The sequence below is a fragment of the Homo sapiens genome, chromosome 17 (assembly GCF_000001405.40).
Source record: "Homo sapiens chromosome 17, GRCh38.p14 Primary Assembly".
NCBI classification, from domain to species: Eukaryota; Metazoa; Chordata; class Mammalia; order Primates; family Hominidae; genus Homo; species Homo sapiens.
This window is the reverse complement of record NC_000017.11, coordinates 4,140,692-4,160,304: the sequence shown is the minus strand read 5'-3', so window position 1 is coordinate 4,160,304 and position 19,613 is coordinate 4,140,692. Positions and strand designations below refer to the sequence as shown.

The following is a 19,613-nucleotide window of genomic DNA, read 5'->3' as shown; positions in this document are numbered from 1 at the left end:
GTGGATATCGGGGTATGGAGCCGAGTCGTGGATACAGGGGTACGGCGCTGAGTCATGTGGATACAGGGGTACGGAGCTGAGTCATGTGGATTATAGGGGTACGGAGCTGGGTCGTGGATATAGGGGTACGGAGCTGAGTCATGTGGATTATAGGGGTACGGAGCTGAGTCATGTGGATATAGGGGTACGGAGCTGAGTCGTGGATATAGGGGTACGGCGCTGAGTCATGTGGATTATAGGGGTACAGAGCTGAGTCATGTGGATATAGGGGTACGGCGCTGAGTCATGTGGATATAGGGGTACGGCGCTGAGTCATGTGGATATAGGGGTACGGACAGTCGTGGATTATAGGGGTACAGAGCTCAGTCATGTGGATATAGGGGTACATAGCTGAGTCATGTGGATATAGGGGTACGGAGCTGAGTCATGTGAATATAGGGGTACGGAGCTGAGTTGTGGATATAGGGATATGGAGCTGAGTCGTGGATATAGGGGTACGGAGCTGAGTCATGTGGATATAGGGGTATGGAGCTGAATCACACTGGGGCTCTGTCCTCAGAGTGTCTGAGGTCCAGTGCAAGAGGTTGATAGGAAGTTCATGGTAAGAGCCCACTGTGATATGAGCACAGCCATGGAGCAGGGAAAGTGCGTCTATAGCTCACTGCTGGCCCAACAGTTAATGAAGGCTCCCAAGAGGGGCCTGATTGAGCTGAATATTGAAGCAATACGGGGTGGATTAATTCAACGGAGGAAGAAGCGTCATTCCAGGCAAAAGAAACAGCTTGTGTGAAGGCACTGCAGACATAACGCAGTGAGAGGGAGGCTGGACAGGAGGTGCACATGGGAGGAGATGGGAAAGGTACAGGCCTAAGAGGAGAGAGGCCACAGAAGGGCCTCGTGTGGCACGCAGCAGAGGAGCTGGCACTCAGTCCTTATAGATCAGGGGAGCCCCTGAGGAGGCTTAAATGGGGGATGCCTTGATCATCTTTAAGAAAGAGCTTGGCCAGGTGCGGTGGCTCACGCATGCAATCCTGGCACTTTGGGAGGACGAGGTGGGTGGATCACAAGGTCAGGATTTCGAGACCAGCCTGACCAACATAGTGAAACCCCATCTCTACTAAGAGTACAAAAATTAGCTGGGTGTAGTGGCACGTGCCTGTAATCCCCAGCTACTTGGGAGGCTGAGGCAGGAGAATCGCTTGAACCCAGGGAGTGGAGGTTGCAGTGAGCCAAGATTGTGCCACCGAGGTTGCAGTGAGCCGAGATCGCGCCACTGTACTCCAGCCTGGGCAAAAGAGCAAGACTCCATCTCAAAAAAAAAAAAAGAAAGAAAGAAAGAAAGAAAGACGGCTCCCAGCAGTGTGGAGGAGGGATTGGAGGGAGGGAGTACAGTTAGGATCCTTCAGTAATCCAAGTGAGAAATGACAGCCTAGGCCAGAGGAAGAGTACTAGGGACAGATAAGAGGGAAGGAAAGGGAGAGAATGAGGGAGGCAGAGGTCCCAGGACCTGCAGGCGGGTTAGGAGGAGGGAAGGGAGGATGGAGTGTGGACGGCTGCTCGGATGCTGACTCTGCGTGTAGCTGGTGGTGCCATTCCCTTGGAGAACTAGAAGCAGCATGGGAGGGGAAGGTGAAATGCTCTGCAAAGCTGCCTGGAGTAGACGTGCAGGTTTGACGGTCTAAGTAACTGTCGGATTTGGAGTGAGAGGAGCCAATGGGAAGGGGTTTGTGGAGGCAAAACGGGGTTCTCAAGGCAATTAAGAAGGAATGGGCAGAGGCAAAAAGGGAAGCAGGATAAAGCCCAGCGAGGGTTTCATGGAGGACCCCACGGTCCACAGTATCCAGAGTGACAAAGCCTAGGTAAGAACTGGATGTGACCACGGAATGTGCCAATGCAGAATTTCTCCTGATTTTTAGAGCAAATGGAGCTGAAAAGCAAAGCTAGTGAGTATAAGCCAAAACTGGAGTTGAGGGAATGTTTATGATGTGAGAGAAGTGAGCTGTTTGATGCATACCTGGGGGAAGATCCAGGAGACGGGGAGAGGTTAAAGGTACAAGAGGGGCAGGTGAGGAGGATGGCGGGGGCAGGCAAAAGGAGCCATGAGCCAGAGCCCAAGTGTAAGGAACAGCTGTGGCCATAGGGGCAATAAGCCCGGGTCTGCCAGTGAGGGGACAGGGGCAGTGAGCACGGGTCTGCCAGTGAGGGGACAGGGGCAGTGAGCACGGGTCTGCCAGTGAAGGGGACAGGGGCAGTGAGTACGGGTCTGCCAGTGAAGGGGAGGCAGCCTCCATTTTCTAGTCTGTGAATCTGGAAAGCGATTTAGTGAAATGAATGATGGAGAAAAAGGAGACAGTGACAGAGAGGGAGGAAGCTGGTGGATGTTGAGGGTGAGACTGAGCGGCAAAGGGAGCTGGGTGGAAGCTCTGATGAGGCGATGCACAGAGGCCGTGGCGCTGTCTGTGGTAGTGCTGGTCCCACTTCTCTGTCTGAAGTAGGAACACTCCTTGCCCCCATCTACCTTCACAAGTAGTCAAGAGGTAACAGGTATGACATTGCCAGATGACGCTGGACATACAAACCACTGGACAAGCAGCAAGCCCAGCCACCTTAAGTTTGAAGCCTTGCCCAAGCTTTAATGTCATGCTAACCAGTTACCTTGTTAGAGCTGGGAAGCCACCTTTTGCTCAAAATGCAGACTTCTGCCTTTGAAAACACACCACACCTGATTTTAAGTGCTTAAAGGACAGAAAATGTCGTTGCTTTAAATTGTTGCTTTGTTCAGAGACATCTGGATTTGCTGTATCCATACAAGCAAAAGCTTTTCCAATTCCAGAATCAACCCACACTAATTTGTTATTGCCTCGTACTGTATTGGCCCAGCTGTAATCAACTCAGCAGGCTTTTGGTTGTAAATTCAAGTGGAAATTGAGTTGGTCTTATTTGTGCCCGTTGATATCTGAGGGCTGTGAGGAAGATGGCCAGTAGGTCAAAGGGAATAGTGTTGAAAAGCTGACCAGTACTGGGCAGGTGGCCGGCTGTCCCTCAGGCACCACAACGCCGAGCCACGGTAAGGGGCATGAGCCACATTTGCAGAATATAGCCAGAGTCCTTCCAGACCCTCCTGATTCGCGCCAGGAGGCATCCCAGGGCACACAAGTGTCAAGGGCCTACTCAGGTGCTTGGCAGAGCTCTCTGTGTGTTATTAACAGAAGAGGCTACGGCTTAGAGTGGAAAGGAGCATGTGATGGCTAGCGGTGGGCAGCCTGTGTACTCTGCCAAGTTTGGGTGGTCCAGGTCCCCACGATTTCTGTGTGGAGGGTTGTCCGGCATCTGGCCACTAGGGGGGCCGGTGGTTCTCACACACACGCAGCGGGGCTCCTTAGCACCTGGCTTATACAGCTTCCTGGGGACGCCAATCCAGTCTCTGCTCACACCTCCACTAAGGATAGACGGAAAGAGGACTTCTTAAATGTGAGAACTCATGAGTCTCTGGGAAGGGGAGAGCAGGAAGCAGAGAGCCAGGCCTTCTGAAAAGTAGAAGCCTACCAGAGTGTTTCCCAAGGCAGCAGGCTACAGCGCTCAGCCCCTGAGCCTTCATGCTCTCTCCTAACATCCTCCAGCTTCCCCTGCAGGGCCACCACCACCTTCCCCAGGCCAAGGGCACAGTCCATGGTTCCTTTCACTGTGCTCCCCAGCCCCTGCCCTGCCCCTTCTTAGGAGGCAGCACCACGTTCCTGCACTGGTGGCAACAGCTGTGAAAGGGCTTCCCCTGCTGGCCTGTGAGCTTCTCAGAAGCAGTGTCTGGGTGCGACTGTCCTCTTCCTTCCCCACTACAACCCAGCGCAGGTCAGGGTCTTCACCTTCTTCTCTGGGGCACTTGGCTGGGGGTGGGCAATTGGGCCCTGGCCCTTGGCCACCTGGGTCGGCCTTCTCTGGGAAGCCCTTGGCATAGAGTGTAGCTGCAAGCTGTCCTGTGCCCCACAGGTCCAGTCCTTGATGGCACTAGGCTTCAGACACGGAGGATTCAGCTGTGGCCCAACAACCTGAGCACCCTCCTATCTTGGGCAGGGGCCTTGCCCACCTCAGGGCACTGGGCTCAGTCTCTGATGGACTCAGAGGCCTTGCAAGAAAGAAACTGAGGTTCTTGGAACTGACGCCTCAGACAGCTTCCGGTGCCTGCTGTCAGAGAAACTGCCCCCAGCGAGAAAACATCCTACTTCTAGCTTACCAAGAACAAGGCTGTCACCCAAACGCCTCCCTCTTCTACCCAGCCTCCATCCCATCATTGGGGATCTGTACTCCACACCTTGTCCCTGCCTTCGGCACTTGTTCCTCTCAGTCTAATGGGACACACACAGGTGAACAGAAGACAACAAACTGAGCTGAGGCACAGGGATAGGGCCCCGCAGTTCACTAGGGTGGCCCTGGAAGGGTTTTGTGGGGAAGGCAGAGCCTGAACTACTCAGTCATGAAAGCAAGAAGAGGTTCAGGAGACACAGGGGAAGGCTGTGGGGAGGGAAAAGGAGGCAGGGCCCAAGGAAGCAAAGTCAAGCATCTGAACGCACGCAGGCCTCCTGGAGTCTCCTCCTCCTGGAGTCTCAGAGACCAGTGCTCTCTGAGGCTACCTGCATTCAGGCCTGTGTCACAGGAAGGCCCACGCCTATCTTAGCTTCTCTCCATAAAGTGAGCAGGCCAGGTTCTCACAGTCCCCTCTTTCTTGAGATGACACTGGAGAAGCTGTCTCTTCAAAGCTAGCGGCCAGGAAAGAAGGAGCTTTCCTTCCTGCTACCTTTGCCCTTGCTCCGCTCATTTAAGGCTGAGAACTCCGAATTTGCAGTGGTTTTTTTTGTTTGTTACTGTTTTTTTGTTATGTTGCCCAGGCTGGACTCCAACTCCTGAGCTCAAGCGACCTGCCTGCCTCAGTCTCCCAAGTAGCCAGGACCACAGGTGTGGCCCACAAGCCACCATGCCCGCCTCACCTGTTTTTAAGACAGCAGTTGAAGCCATCACTGCAGGTACCCTCCCCACCTCCTCGTCCCTCTCCTATAGATAGGCATGATTTGTGCTGTCAAACAGGAAACCAAAGCCCGTGGGTGGCTGAGCAGGCCAAAGAAAGCAAGAAATCCTGCTTGTGCCTTCTCATTCCCGGGTCAAGGTTGTGTCAGCAGGATCTTTGGAGAATTCGGAAAAAATAAAAAGATGCCCAGGCCTCAAGTCCAAGTCTCAACCCATTCAGTTGAGTGGAGTGAGGTCTGACCATCCGTAATTTCGGCAATTCCCCAGAAGATCTAATATGCAGCCAAAGTTGAGAATTATTATCAGTATTTTGAAAAAGCTCCCCAGGGTTAACAATCAATTCCTGAATTCACTGAATACTGCAGGCAGGATGGCCTAGGAGTTGGATTTGGGACAGGCAGAAAGGAGAAGAAGGGGAGCCTGCTTACCTCTTCTGGGAGCACCAGAGCCGGCTGCCCCTGGCTGAGCTCCACTCCGCGTTGCACGGCGGGAATGTCTGCTTCTCTTGCAGCTGTAGTTTGTTGGCCTCCAAGCCTCTGGTGATCGCAGCTTCTACCTGGGTCAGTGCCGGGGTGGGCAGCCCATCCTCTCCGTAGAACCGTCCTGTCACCCTCCCTGTGATGACAGGAAGGCAGATGTGAGTGAGAGTGAATACTCAGCTGCTGAGGCAGGTGTGGGAAGGCACAAGTTCCCAGGGTTTCTGACTTCAGTCCTGCTGGTGCGCGTTTAATAAGAACTTCTACTGCAGGCACTCCTGGTGCCTTGCACACCAACCTCTTAGCACCCTACAAGCCCCCACACAGCTGCATCCCTCTTCTAGCTGCAGAGCCCTTCAGCACAGAAACCATCAAACCTCTCTCACTTCCAGACAAGGCTTCCCTGAGGGCACAGCCATGTGTGATTCATTTCTCCATGCTTCCATGTGCTTGGAGCACACGCTGGGTATTCAATTAATGTTTGATGAATGAATGGCTTATTGGCTAACATTTTTTAAATGTTTATTATAATAGAGATGGGGTCTCACTCTGTTGACCAGGCTAGTCTTGAACTTCTGGGCTCAAGCAATCCTCCCACCTCAGCTTGTTGAGTAGATGGGGGTACAGGTGTAAGTCACACTGTGCCCGGCTTTAAAATGCCTGTCAGAATTTGTAAAAGTCTAAGCTATGGCAGCAGCCAGCAAGTGGTCCACCAGCCTATAGGCCAGAAGGAAAAACAGGTCAGTTCTCTCAGCCCAGGGTCCTAATGTAGCCCAGTCCTGAGGTGCAAATGCCCTTCAGAGGCAGCACCTGCCACAAGGCAAGAGAAGCAGAAAGGAAGCACTTGAGGGAGGTGCGACCGAAGAGGGAGCAACCCCTAAGAACTAGCTTTACCTTCGATTCTAGTGGCGCGTATGTTCAGCGCATCTGAGATTCAGCTCGTCTCCCAAGTCCAACGCCCTCCCTGACTTTCCCAAATCCGTGTTGCCTCTAGCCTGTGACCTGCATTAGGAGCCTGACTCCTCCTCCTCTACATCCACATCATACTCCCTTCCTTGCTGTCTGATCGGATCCATCAGAAAACCTCGTCAGTCCTACCTCTGAACAGATCCTGATTCTGTTCACTCCTTTCCATTCCCACTGCCATCACCCTCCTCCAAACCACGGACTGTGGCAGTGGCCTCCTAACTGCTCTCTGGTCAGCTCATGCCCTCCTAGAGTTCTCTGTCCATAAAACAACTAGGGGATCTTTTAAAAACATGAATCCTACCATGGCTCTCCGATGCCTGATTAAAACCCTTCAATGGCTTCTTAAAGCAGACAAAAATGCAAATTTCTTATCAAGGCCTCTAAGGCCCTGTAACCATTTAACTGATTTGCTTCTTCAGCCTCTTACAAGCTACGTCCCCCCTCGTTCACGGGGGGCTCCAGCACACTGGCTTCCTTTCTGTGTCTTGGCTGTGCTTCCCCACTCCCCACCTTCGCACCGCTCTTCCCTGACCCAGCACACTCTCCTCAGGTCTCGGTGTGGCTGCCTCCCACTCACCTGCCGGTCTCAGCTTAACGGTCATTTTCTCCAAGAAGCCACTCCTGAGCATGTGCTCTAAAGGAGCCAAAGCTCCCAAACGTATTACATCACAGTTTGATGCATGGTCCTATGTGGAGTTGTTCAATCTGTTTACTTGTCTATGATGGCTCTCTCTACTAGTGAGGCGCAGTACTCAGAACAGCTTAGCGCCAGGCGCAGCGGCTCACACCTGTAATCCCAGCACTTTGGGAGGCTGAGGCGGGCAGATCACTTGAGGTCAGGGGTTCGAGACCAGCCAGGCCAACATGGTGAAACCCTGTCTCTACTAAAAATACAAAAATTTGCTGGGCGTGGTGGTGCATGCCTGTAATCCCAGCTACCCAGGAGGCTGAGGCAGGAGAACTGCTTGAACCTAGAAGTTGGAGGTTGCAGTGAGCTGCAGTCGTGCCACTGCACTCCAGCCTGGGTGACAAAGCAAGACTCCATCTGAAAAAATATATAAATAAATAAAACAGCTTAGCATAGAGCATTCATTTTAAATACTTATTAGATGAATAAAGAAAGGAATCAGGGCCCGAGTCACAGGCCTGCAGTCTATGAGTTGGCCTGGCACAGAATTTCCCACTACGGGGGTTGGGGTGTCTGTGTTATATGGTGACAAGCCTGTCTTTGGTGAGTTTCTGACATGAGACCCAAAGAGAGGACAGTAGTAGCAGAGGCAACAGAGGAAGAGTTCTAGAATCTGTGTCATGAGAATGGTGATCACCAGTGGCTGCATCTCCAAGCCAATCCTGTATCCACAGCATAACCAAGGCCATCTTGTTTTCCCTTGAGGCCTGGCCATGTTGGCTGCCAAGATGGCTTCCTGGCTGTCCTCACTTCAGTATGTACCCTTACAATAAACCTTCATCCACTGATGTATCCTGAGGGTTTCTGGTAACCTGAAAGAGCCTAACATGGCCCCTATCCTACAGAATGAGCTAACAGGGGCAGGAACTGGACTCAATTCATCCCTGGTCCCCCTGAGGATGGAACCCGTAACTTATGAGTAGTAGGTATTCAATAAGATCCTGACATCAACTAAAATCCTTCTGAGGCATTTCCCGCCACATGCCCCACCCCATCCTCAACACATTATACATCATTCAAACAAGACCAGCTCACTTGTCACACCAAACGCATCCGAACACTTCCAGTGTGCTCCCAAATCTTAGTATGAAGTATTTGGCCTGGCATTCTTTGCCCATTTACAGGACTCTGTTCTTTTTTTTTTTTTTTTGAGACAGGGTCTCACTCCGTTGCCCAGGCTGGAATGCAGTGATGTGATCTCGGCTTATCGCAACCTCTGCCTTCCAGGTTCAAGTGATTCTCATGCTTCAGCCTCCTGAGTAGCTGGGATTACAGGTGTGTCCCACCACACCCAGCTAATTTTTTGTATTTATAGTAGAGACATGGTTTTGCCATGTTGGTCAGGCTGGTCTTGAACTCCTGACCTCAACTGATCCGACCACCTCAGCCTCCCAAAGTGCTGGGATTACAGGCATGAGCCACCGGTCTGGACTCCATTCTTATTCTTTTTCTTTTTTTTCTTTTTTTTTGAGACAGAGTCTCACTCAGCCACCCAGGCTGGAGTGTAGTGGTGCGATCTTGGCTCACTGCAACCTCCGTCTTCCAGGTTTAAGCAATTCTCCCGTCTCAGCCTCCTGAGTAGCTGGGATTACAGGCACCTGCCATCATGCCCGGCTAATTTTTGTATTTTAATAGAGACAGGGTTTCACCATGTTGGCCAGGCTGGTCTTGAACTCCTGACCTCAGGTGGTGATCCGCCCACCTCGGCCTCCCAAAGTGTTAGGATTACAGGTGTGAGAGACCACTCCTGGCTCTTATTCTTTTCTATTGGGTTTTCTTTTCTTTATTAACCCAGTAATGTTTCAACCTTGGTTTGGCAACTTCATTGGGAAAGGGAAGAACCCAGCCCTCTGAAGCGCAGGTGAGTAGAGGTCAGTGCCTTCGATGGTAGACAGGGTTATGGTCTCAAGACTGATCTTGGGCATACGAGAGAAAATGAAGAAAGGCGTGCTGCAGAGGCCCACAATGGATGGACACAAACTTTAGATATTATGAAAAAGCCATGATTGATTGGATGTGGAGGGAGCTGAGGTGTTAATAAAAATGCCAAGGTTCTCAGAAAAGGTAACTCAAGCAGTGATGACAGAAGCAGAAATTCAGAGGCATTAAGGAAAGAATTCTTCCAAGTTAGACCTGTTTCGATGGTGAAGTGATACTGGTGTTCCTCAGGAAGTCAGTCATGTCCAAGTAGGACTCCAGTGAGACGTGGGGGCTGCAGATAGATAGAAGAAAGGGCTACGGCCATCCCAGTTGTCAGTACTTGTGAAGCAATCTAGTGTTTAGTGTCTTTCGTTGAGGCTGGAGTGCAGTAGCGCAATCTCAGGTCACTGCAACCTCCATCTCCCGGGCTGAAGCGATTCTCCTGCCTCAGCCTCCTGAGTAGCTGGGAGTACAGGTGCGTGCCACCACGCCCAGGTAATTTTTGTATTTTTTAGTAGAGACAGGGTTTCACCATGTTGGCCAGGCTGGTCTTGAACTCCTGACCTCAAGTGATCCAACCGCCTCAGCCTCCCAAAGTGCTGGTATTACAGTCGTGAGCCACTGCGCCGGGCCTAGTGTTTAGAGTCTTTAACACTGCTTTAGGACACAGTTTGGTGTTGTCTCATTTGAGAAGCAAGTCCCTTATGTAGCATCAGTAAGTAGCAAGTGCAGTAACCTACACAGTGGTTTGATTAGCATAACTACCACCTGGGAGACAGCTCACTCACGAAGTTTGTCTCCTCCTAGAGGACCAAATAAAAGGGGATTTGTCGAAACACAAATTCAGGCTTCAAGCCCTTCTGGCTGTGTGCTGAAGCCAGATGCATCGAACACAGTGAGACAGGGAAGCTGCCCTTCTGGAGCTGGTTGTTCAAGGATGGTGCAAGCAACCACTGGCTATGGCGAAACTGAGGCCAAAGCAAGCAGCTTAGTAATCCTCTCCCAAGACTAAGAGTGGGGGAAGCAGGTGCCCATCCATCTCCTTCTGGGCGGCTCATCCCTATTCTAACGACCAGAATTTAAAGTAAAACAAATCCATGGCTGTTTTTCAGATTTTAAGCTTGAACCCAATCCCTAAAAAATCTCAGCCCCCTAAAAACACTGCAGACAACCAAATGAAATGTATGACCTATGGACGACTTACCAACACACACATAATTCTTCTCATAGAATGAAAGCCAATTGTGAAGTGTCAGCATCTCAGCGGCTGACAGGTCGGATACGTCATCCACGAGGCCTGCTTCAGAACAGTCCCCGGTCACGAAAGCTCTGGATGCGTCTCGGCCTGGAACAGAGATGTTTCCATCAGACCCAGGTGTAAACCACTGACACCATCCCCACTCAAGAATCTGTTTTCTTTCTTTTTCTTTTTTTTTTGAGACGGAGTCGCACTCTGTTGCCCAGGCTGGAGTGCAGTGGCATGATTTCAGCTCACTGCAACCTCTGCCTTCCGCTTTCAAGCCATTCTCCTGCTTCAGCCTCCAGAGTAGCGGGGATTACAGGCGCCCGCCACCACGCCTGGCTAATTTTTGTATTTTTTTAGTAGAGATGGGGTTTCACCATGGTGGCCAGGCTTGTCCTGACCTCAGGTGATCCGCCCACCTTGGCCTCCCAAAGTGCTGGGATTATAGGTGTGAGCCACCACGCCTGGCCAGAAACTGCTTTCTGAGAAACGTCTCTTGACAAGCCCTACTCCTTATCCCCAGGGAAATGGGGTCCCCACCACCTCCTCTGTGAAAGATGCTCCTAGACCTTGGACACACATCTCTTTGGCATTGGTCATATTCTTTCTTTTACCTTCGGCAAACTTTAACACAGCTGACCACTTCCCTTGGCCTGATTTTCCTCCTACTTCTCCAGCTCCTCACTGTCTACCAGCCTTAGGGGTCAATTACTGTCCACACCCTCACACTTGACAATCTCATCCACACCTGTGGTTTCAAAGCCCACCTACAGGCAAAGATAGCCACATCTGTATCTTTAGCTCAGATGTCTCCCAAGGCTCACACCTGTATATCCAACAACACTTAGACGTCTTACAGATATCACAAGATCAAAATGTTCACACTGGCTGGGCGTGGTGGCTAATGCTCATAATCCCAGCTCCTCAAGAAGCTGAATAAGGAGGACTGCTTGAGCCCAGGGGTTTGAGCTATGACCATGCCACTGCACTCCAGCCTGCGTGACAGGGTGAGACCCCATCTCTCTTAAAAAAAAAAAAAAAGTCCACATTGAAATAGTGATTATCAGCACCCTCACAGCCAGGAAACCTGTATCTACTCCAGTATTGCCTGTCTCAGTAAATGCCAACCAGTTGCTCAATCCAGGAATGCAGTTCTTTTTTTTTGTGCATGAGACGGAATTTTGCTCGTCGCCCAGGCTGGAATGCAAAGGCACAATCTTGTCTCACTGCATCCTCTGCCTCACGGGTTCAAGCGATTTGCCTGCCTCAGCCTCCCGAGTAGCTGGGACTACAGATGCGCACCAACATGCCTGGCTAATTTTTGTATTTTTAGTAGAGATGGGCCAGGCTGGTGTGGAACTCCTGACCTCCGGTGATCCACCCACCTTGGCCTCCGAAAGTGCCGGGATTACAGGTGTGAGCCACCGCATCCAGCCTGGGGAATGCAGTTCCCCATTTTTTTTTTTTTTTTTTTTTGAGACTGAGTCTCGCTCTGTTGCCCAGGCTGGAGTGCAATGGCGCAATCTCAGCTCAATGCAACCTCTACCTCCCGGGTTCAAGCCATTCTCCTGCCTCAGCCTCCTGAGTAGCTGGGACTACAGGTGCCCGCCACCACGTCCAGCTAATTTTTGTATTTTTAGCAGAGACGGGGTTTTGCCACGTTGGCCAGGCTGGTCTCGAACTCCTGACCTGAGGTAACGTTCCCGCCCTGCCCTCCCAAAGTGCTGGCATTAGAGGCGTGAGCCACCATGCCCAGCCTGCAGTTCCTAACACTTCCTTCATCCCTCACATCCAGTCTCCAAGTCCTGTTATTTTCTGCCTAAGCAGTGTTCTTGTGTCAGTCTGCCTGTCTCCACCCACATCTAAGCAAGCCCAGGCTGCCATCCTTTCTCACCTGAACTCCTACAGCAAACCTCAAGGAAGCCCTCCCTGCATTCATTCTTGCCCCACCAATCTGCTCTTCATACCACACTCAACTGATACTTTAAACACAAACTGATCACATCATTCTCCTGCCAAAGAATCCTCAGAGGCTTCCCTCTGTTCTATGAGAATGTCCAAATTCCTTAACACGTCATTCATTGTCCTGCACCAGCTGCCACCAACGCTGCCTTGCCAAATTTCTGTTTGTTTGTTTTTGAGACAGAGTTTCGCTCTTGTTGCCCAGGCTGGAGTGCAATGGCACAATCTCGGCTCACCGCAACCTCTGCCTCCCAGGTTCAAGCAATTCTCCTGCCTCAGTCTCCTGAGTAGCTGGGATTACAGGCATGCGCCACCATGCCCGGCTAATTTTGTATTTTTAGTAGAGATGGGGTTTCTCCATGTTAGTCAGGCTGGTTTCGAACTCCCAAACTCAGGTGATCGGCCCACCTTGGCCTCCCAAAGTGCTGGGATTACAGGCGTGAGCCACCACACCTGGCCACTGCCACGTTCTTTATTGTTCACTTTGCTCCCTTCCTCTCCTCCTCTTCAAATCGGTTACAGCCTCTGGTAACACCAGTACTTTTCCTTTTAACACTTTTCACAAAAATAATACATTAATTGTGTAATATCTATTTAATATCTATTTAATGTCTGTCTTTTCTACTAGTAAGTTTTATCAGGTAAGACAACACACCAAACTCATTTACTATGGATTCCCCAGTGTCTGGTACAGTGCCTGATCTTTAGTAAATTCCCAGTAAATATCAAACGAATTAAATACATAGTTTTTTTCTTTTTTGAGATAGAGTCTCGCTGTATCGCCCAGGCTGGAGTGCAGTGGTGCGATCTTGGCTCACTGCAACCTCTGCCTCCTCGGTTCAAGGGATTCTTCTGTCTCCAACTCCCAAGTAGCTGAGACTACGGGCATGGACCACTGTGCCCAGCTCACACAAACATTTGTACATGAATGTACATAGTGGCATTATTTATAACAGGCAAAAAAAGTAGAAAGAAACCAAAAATCCATCAACTGATAGATAAAATGTGGTATATCCATATTATTAGAATTATAGTATCTATAGAATATTTTCAGCCATAAAGGAATAATGCACTGCTACATGCTGGTACACCATGGATGAACCCTTAAAACATGATGCTAGGTGAAAGAAGCCAGACACAAAAGGCCACACGTATGACTCCATGAAATGCCCACAATAGGCCAATCGACAGGAAAAGAAAGTAGATAGTGGTTGGCAAAGGAAGGAATAAGGAGTGACTGCTAATAGATAAGAAGTTTCTTTCTGGGGTGAGAAGAATGTTCTAGAGTTAGTGGTGACATTTTTACAAATTTCTGGCTATACTAAAAAAAAAAACCCACCGGGCCAGGCGCGGTGGCTCAGGCCTGTAATCCCAGCACTTTGGGAGGCTGAGGTAGGCAGATCACGAGGTCAGGAGATCGAGACCATCCTGGCTAACACAGTGAAACCCCGTCTCTACTAAAAATACAAAAACTTAGCCAGGTGTGGTGGTGGACGCCTGTAGTCCCAGCTACTCGGGAGGCTGAGGCAGGAAAATGGCATGAACTCAGGAGGCGGAGCTTGCAGTGAGCCAAGATTGCGCCACTGCACTCTAGCCTGGGCGACAGAGTGAGACTCCATCTCAAAAAAACAAAAAAAACACTGAATTTTGGCTCATACCTATAATCCCAGCACTGTGTGAGACCTAGGCAGGTGGATCACATGAGGCCAGGATTTCCTGTCCAGCCTGGCCAACATGGCAAAACCCCATCTCTATTAAAAATAAAAAAAATTAGCCAGACATGGTGGCACACGCCTGTAATCCTAGCTCCTCGGGAGGCTGGGGCACAAGAATATTGAACCCGGGAGGCAGAGGTTGCAGTAAGCCAAGATTGCGCCACCGCACTCCAGCCTGGGCTAAAGAACCAGTTTATCTCGAAAAATAAAAATAAATAAATAAAAAGGTTGGGGGCAGTGGCTCACACCTGTAATCCCAACACTTTCAGCGGCTGAATCACTTGAGCTCAGGAGTTCAAGACCGGCCTGGCCAACATGGCGAAAACCCATCTCTACAAAAAATACAAAAATTAGCTGCACGTGATGGTGCACACCTATGGTCCCCGCTACTTGGGAGGCTGAAGTGGAAGGATTGCTTGAGCTTGGGAGGCGGAGGTTGCAGTGAGCCAAGATCATGCCACTGCACGCCAGCCTGGGTGACAGAGGCAGACCCTGTCTCTAAACAACAAAAAACCCCACTGAATTGTATACGTTAAAAGGACTTTACATCACGTGAATTACATCTCAATGAGAAATAAAATACTGAATGAACGAATACGTGGACATAACTGCTTCCCAACTAGACTGTGTGGGCGGTGGGGAGCATGTTGCAGACATCTTGGATTCCACAGCCCCTGACACAAGGTAGGTAGTGGTAAATAAAGATGGTCAATGAATACCAGAACACGGGAGCTCAGTAAACAGCAGAGCACACTGAAAAATAAAAAGCACTCCAGACATCGAAGGTTTTATGCCCACACTTGTGCAAACATCCAACGACAGCTCCCACAGCACGCAGCAGGGCAGCGCAACGAAAACTGCCTTCAACTAGCAGCGACAAAACACCTTGATTCCAGTCCCAGCTCTGCTTCTAACTCACTGTGTACCCCTGAGTAAGTCCCTTCCCCTGCTGGACTATCTCAGGGGATTTGCGAGACCAACTGGACTTCATTCCTTTTCTGTCAACTTTTGTATTTCTTTAGTACTTCCTAGACAGAGGGAAGTGGCTTGTATTTTAAGTGCTAGAGGCAGCTTCCCAATTCCCCTAAGATAATGACAAGTGGAAAATGCTTATTTAATGTCAGCCTAGTAGCTGATCTTAGGCTTGCCCTGCACTTTTTTTTTCTTTTTAAATTTTGGAGGTCAGTCCCGCTGGCTGGCAAGGCAACATCTGTAAAAAAGCACTAGGCTGGCCGGGTGTGGTGGCTCACGCCTGTAATCCCAGCACTTTGGGAGGCCAAGGTGGGCGGATCATAAGGTCAGGAGATCGAGACCATCCTGGCTAACATGGTGAAACCCCGTCTCTACTAAAAATTCAACAAATTAGCCGGGCGTGGTGGTGGGCGCCTGTAGTCCCAGCTATTCGGGAGGCTGAGACAGGAGAATGGCGTGAACCCGGGAGGCAGAGCTTGCAGTGAGCCGAGATCAGGCCACTGCACTCCAGCCTGGGCGACACAGCGAGATTCCATCTTTAAAAAAAAAGCACTAGACTGGTGGTCCGAGTCCATATTCTGTCAGTATTCAGGTGTGAGGGTTTCAGGCAAATCGCATCCTTTAACCCCCTCAGCTGTAACACAGGGACACCAGCATAAACTTAATTTGACAAATGTTTCTTGAGGCCTAACATATGCACAACTTTGGTCTACGTATCAAGGACTGTAAAGGTGACTGGACCCCTTTCCTCTGCCCTAACCTTCTAAGGAAGGCAAACAGGTGCATCTTGTACTAGAAGCAGGAATGACTCAGACCAAATGTACTATATGACGGGCCATAAAGGAATAAAGTATTGATGCATGCTCATAAACCATGGATGAACCTTGAAAACACTATGCTTAGGGGTGGGGGGAAGAAAGATTATTTGGGACCAGGGCATAATGAAGAGATGGTTGGAATTATTAAGGAAACTGTGAGGGTAGGGGCGGGGCGGGATCTCGTTTATCTGTGCCCTAAGAGCCCCCACAAAAGTCCGGCACACAGCCCGTATCCTAGGGCTTCCGACGCTGGGTAATGGGTAACAAGAGACAGAAGACATGTTTCTCCAATGTAAGTCACGCAGGGCGGTGGTGGATGACAGAGCTGGCCCACAGTCCCGCCAGAGCCAGAGAGCCTAGAAGGATAGTGCATGCAGCTCGTCCCGCCCACCGCACGGGTTTGATGGATGTGGGGTGGGGATGGGGGGGGAAATAGATGAATAATGAACCAACGAACGACGCGCAGGTGGCTACTGGCTCGCGCCAGCGGAGAGAAAGGCGTGAGCAGCCTCGCTGATACCTGCGAAGCCGCTATAGTGGGACCCAGGCTCGTAGTGCCTCCGGCCGGAGGACACATCGTAGACACGGCCGAGCAACGCCAAGTACAGGCCCGGGTCCCCTGGGCCGCCGCGGTAGCGAGACAGCTCCTCCGGTATGAAAAGGCGAAAGCCAGCGCGGGGACCCCACCAGCCCATAAGCCGTGCTGCCATTACCGCTGCTGCGGCTACAGCCAGGCCCAACAAAAGCCCACGGCCTCCGCACCTCAACATCTATATAGGCCCACCCGCTCCGCACTTCCGAGGTTGCCGCCTCTATCTACAGCTAAGATGGCCGAGACGCCGAGCGTGACGTCATCGGCGCGCGCGCTCTCGCTCTCTCTCTCGCGCGCTAGTGCTCGCGCTCCCTCCCTTAGTCTCTCTCGTTTTATCTGTATTCCTGGCACTGGCGAAAAGCTCGCTGTCTGCGACTTTTTCCAGGTACTTTTTTTTTTTTTTTCTGAGACAGAGTTTTAGCTCTTGTTGTCCAGGCTGGAGTGCACTGGCGGAATCTCGGCTCACTGCAACCTCCGCCTCCCGGGTTCAAGCGATTCTCCTGCCTCAGCCTCCCAAGTAGCTGGGATTACAGGCACGCGCCCCCACGTCCGGCTAATATTTTGTATTTAGTAGAGACAGGGTTTCACCACGTTGGTCAGGCTGGTCTCGAACTCCTGACCTCAGGTGATCCACCCGTCTCGGCCTCCCAAAGTGCTGGGATTACAGGCGTGAGCCACCGCGCCTGGCCCTTCTCGTACTTCTTGGCTTGCAGGTTGTCAGCCCCAACAAAGATGGCGGCAGCGGAGGCTACGGAATGACGTAGATACTGAGACAGACTCGTCCTCTGGGAAATCAAGGTTGCACCCTTTGAGGCGGCGCTCCCCGCCTAGCTGTCGTGAGTTGGTAGAGGCCGCCTATCTACGTGACGGCGCCTTTGCGACAGCGGTCGTCGCTTGACGGCCAGGAAGCCGGAAGCCGCAGGGGCCGCCGTCGTCTCCTCCGCGTCCCCGCCCGCCAGCTGCTGTCGGAGGTTGACAGGTCGAGGCGGGGAGGCGGCGGCGGCGGCTGCAGAGCCAGGCGCCCAAGACGGAGACCCCATGGGGAACGCTCCGAGTCACAGCAGTGAAGACGAAGCGGCAGCTGCCGGTGGCGAGGGCTGGGGCCCACACCAGGACTGGGCCGCGGTCTCGGGCACGACCCCCGGCCCGGGCGTCGCGGCTCCAGCGCTACCACCCGCCGCGGCGCTGCTGGAGCCGGCCAGGCTGCGAGAGGCTGCTGCAGCGTTGCTGCCCACACCCCCCTGCGAGTCGCTGGTGTCGAGGCATCGCGGCGCGTTGTTTCGCTGGCTGGAAGAGCGGCTGGGCCGCGGCGAAGAGTCTGTCACTCTGGAGCAGTTCCGGGAGCTGCTGGAGGCTCGCGGCGCCGGCTGCTCTAGCGAGCAGTTCGAGGAGGTCAGGGCCGGCAGGCGACTGCGGGGATGGGGCAGGGCGGTCGCCCCCAGGGGACTGAAGGAAGAGGTGGGCATTTGCTTTGGAGAGGCCAGGCGGGGACCCATATGAGGTGTTTCCAGCTTTTCACCAGGCGTTTGCTTCGTTTCTCTTTAACCTATGTTAGAGGTCTGGAAAGTCTGCATCAGGCCGTCCTTGCTCTGAAGAGCTGGACAAGCCCATATGTCTCTCTCTGTATGTTGTAATGCAGACCTTTGTGCAGTTGATTGACGCTACTCTGGAGATCTTCTATCAGATTCTCGAACAGTTTGGAGAGAAAAGAGATGTAAGGATAGGAGGAGTGGCGCTGAGAACCATTTTTTGTATTGTCCTGTCCAGGTTTTTACACAGCACCTTCCCAATTCAGTGTGGGCGCCGAATAAGTGTGGAAAGACAGTAGTAACATGCTGGAAAGGCTCACATTCTAAAACCTATCCTCCTCATGCAAAAACTAGCTTTTCTAAAATACATACTGGTTTGTAGATCCTTAAAGAACCATATATTAGACTCATTTAAACCTTCATAGGATCCGAAACTGATAGGCAAATACCAGGTTTCCTGTGAATACTTGTAATTATGCAGTTCTTCATATAATCACCAAGATCATGTCTGCTAAGTCATTAAGAGAGCAAATTGATTTGGCAACAAAATATTTTCCTTGGAAGGCATTTTGGGAGTTTATTTACTGGGCGCTTCACTTCGAGTTAAGAAGACTGATCCAGGGTTACCCAGTGAATCATTAGTAAAACAGACTATCAACTAGATCTCTTGCTTTTTTTTTTTTTCTTTCTTTCAACTTTTATTTTAAATTCAGGCGTACATGTGCAGGATTTGGATTTGCAGATGTATTACATAGGTAAACGTGTGCCATGGTGGTTTACTCCACACAGCATCCCATCACCCAGGTATTAAGCCCAGCATCCATTAGGTATTCTTCCTGATGCTCTCTCTCCCTCCACCCGCACCCTATTTTTTGTTTTTAATGTCTCACTACCTCCTTCCTGGGATCCTATTTCTTTTAACACCACGGTATGACCAAAAAGGTACTTATTTTGTGAAAATGAGTTAGCCAGTCATGTAGAATCTTCAGTGGCCACGAAGGGTGTGTACATAAAGCAGTAAACCAGCGGGTACTTGCAGTGCCTTTAAAAGGTTCTGTTCACCTTAAAATCAGAGGCTTTTAAAATATTTTAAGAATGTCTTCCTGTACATGGCCAGAATTCAGATAATGTAGTTTGTGTGTTTCTTATGAAAAAAGTACCTTTAAGGCATCCCAACCCTTAAAAATAATAGTCATGGCTGGGCGCAGTGGCTCACGCCTGTAATCCCAGCACTTTGGGAGGCTGAGGCGGGAGGATCATCTGAGGTCAGGAATTCAAGACCAGCCTGGCCAACGTGGTGAAACCCCACCTCTACTAAAAATACAAAAATTAGCTGGGCATGGTGGCGGGTGCCTGTAATCCCAGCTACTTGGGAGGCTGAGGTGGGACAACCGCTTGAACCCAGGAGGCGGAGGTTGCAGTGAGCTGAGATCACGCCACTGCATTCCAGCCTGGGCCTCAGAGCGATACTCTGTCTCAAAAAAAAAAAAAAAAGTCATATTAGTTAGTGAAAGATCTCCTTTTTTTTTCCCCCCAGGAATACACATAGTACCTTCTTTCTAGTATCTACGCGTATTATGAGAATATGAAGTAGTAGTGGGAAGAACCATGCAGAACTGTTGAAGGAGATGGCACTTTGCAGATTTGAGCAAAGGCAAATGGAGAGAAACACCGTTTACATTCTGAGAGTTTCTGACAGAAATAGAACTTTAT

At 50.8% G+C, this 19,613-nt stretch overlaps 2 protein-coding genes and 1 long non-coding RNA gene across 14 annotated transcripts in view, besides 7 other annotated features; 2 read left to right on the top strand and 1 right to left on the bottom strand.

The window, feature by feature from the left end:
• Positions 1-2,603: 2,603 nt before the first annotated feature.
• On the bottom strand, positions 2,604-17,137 carry CYB5D2 (cytochrome b5 domain containing 2). 5 transcript variants are annotated; one of them, NM_001254756.1, is made up of 4 exons: positions 16,992-17,137; positions 10,274-10,414; positions 5,445-5,631; positions 2,604-3,439 (listed from the first exon to the last, which is right to left on the bottom strand). In NM_001254756.1, exons 2-4 carry the CDS (start codon positions 10,326-10,328, stop codon positions 3,223-3,225), a joined length of 459 nt encoding a protein of 152 aa, NP_001241685.1. In that variant the 5' UTR covers positions 10,329-10,414; positions 16,992-17,137; the 3' UTR covers positions 2,604-3,222. The 5 variants fall into 5 exon arrangements, with proteins under 5 accessions (NP_001241685.1, XP_047291289.1, XP_006721510.2 ...); XM_047435333.1 differs by having other exon boundaries at positions 17,071-17,108; XM_006721447.4 differs by lacking the exon at positions 16,992-17,137 and adding an exon at positions 14,238-16,194.
• Positions 4,112-5,468, top strand: LOC124903898 (uncharacterized). The gene is made up of 3 exons (XR_007065581.1): positions 4,112-4,358; positions 4,881-5,015; positions 5,382-5,468. It is a non-coding gene; the product is annotated as an uncharacterized LOC124903898 (long non-coding RNA).
• Positions 16,260-16,839: an enhancer, noted in NCBI's record as "active region_11536". NCBI's record gives its function as "activates an Ori minimal core promoter by ATAC-STARR-seq in GM12878 lymphoblastoid cells {active_cell/tissue: GM12878}" and the evidence as "EXISTENCE:reporter gene assay evidence [ECO:0000049][PMID:35858748]".
• Positions 16,260-16,962: a biological region, named in NCBI's record as "NANOG-H3K27ac-H3K4me1 hESC enhancer GRCh37_chr17:4046637-4047189".
• Positions 16,410-16,962: an enhancer, noted in NCBI's record as "NANOG-H3K27ac-H3K4me1 hESC enhancer chr17:4046637-4047189 (GRCh37/hg19 assembly coordinates)". NCBI's record gives its function as "activates a minimal SCP1, AML or CMV promoter by ChIP-STARR-seq in naive H9 embryonic stem cells {active_cell/tissue: H9 hESC(naive)}" and the evidence as "EXISTENCE:reporter gene assay evidence [ECO:0000049][PMID:30033119]".
• Positions 16,963-17,514: an enhancer, noted in NCBI's record as "H3K27ac hESC enhancer chr17:4046085-4046636 (GRCh37/hg19 assembly coordinates)". NCBI's record gives its function as "activates a minimal SCP1, AML or CMV promoter by ChIP-STARR-seq in naive H9 embryonic stem cells {active_cell/tissue: H9 hESC(naive)}" and the evidence as "EXISTENCE:reporter gene assay evidence [ECO:0000049][PMID:30033119]".
• Positions 16,963-17,549: a biological region, named in NCBI's record as "H3K27ac hESC enhancer GRCh37_chr17:4046085-4046636".
• Positions 16,990-17,299: an enhancer, noted in NCBI's record as "active region_11535". NCBI's record gives its function as "activates an Ori minimal core promoter by ATAC-STARR-seq in GM12878 lymphoblastoid cells {active_cell/tissue: GM12878}" and the evidence as "EXISTENCE:reporter gene assay evidence [ECO:0000049][PMID:35858748]".
• The window catches only part of ZZEF1 (zinc finger ZZ-type and EF-hand domain containing 1), a 138,586-nt gene continuing 136,247 nt past the window's right edge, over positions 17,275-19,613 (top strand). For all 8 annotated transcript variants that reach the window (XR_007065288.1, NM_015113.4, XM_005256561.3 and 5 more), the window contains exon 1: positions 17,275-17,763. Coding sequence is in view for 7 of the 8 variants with exons in the window: in NM_015113.4 (NP_055928.3) it covers positions 17,410-17,763 (354 nt within the window). In the remaining variant the exon portion in view is untranslated. The remainder of the gene's footprint in view (positions 17,764-19,613) is intronic.
• Positions 17,380-17,549: a silencer, noted in NCBI's record as "silent region_8032". NCBI's record gives its function as "represses an Ori minimal core promoter by ATAC-STARR-seq in GM12878 lymphoblastoid cells {active_cell/tissue: GM12878}" and the evidence as "EXISTENCE:reporter gene assay evidence [ECO:0000049][PMID:35858748]".

Bases quoted from the DNA above. Each gene is read 5' to 3' on its own strand.
- CYB5D2 (NM_144611.4), bottom strand. From the start codon at position 16,549: ATGTTGAGGTGCGGAGGCCGTGGGCTTTTGTTGGGCCTGGCTGTAGCC. The intron at 10,415-16,299 runs GTATCAGCGAGG...TCTCTGTTCCAG, and splicing joins CCACTATAGCGGCTTCGCAG to GCCGAGACGCATCCAGAGCT. The intron at 5,632-10,273 runs GTAAGTCGTCCA...CTGTCATCACAG, and splicing joins GAAGAATTATGTGTGTGTTG to GGAGGGTGACAGGACGGTTC.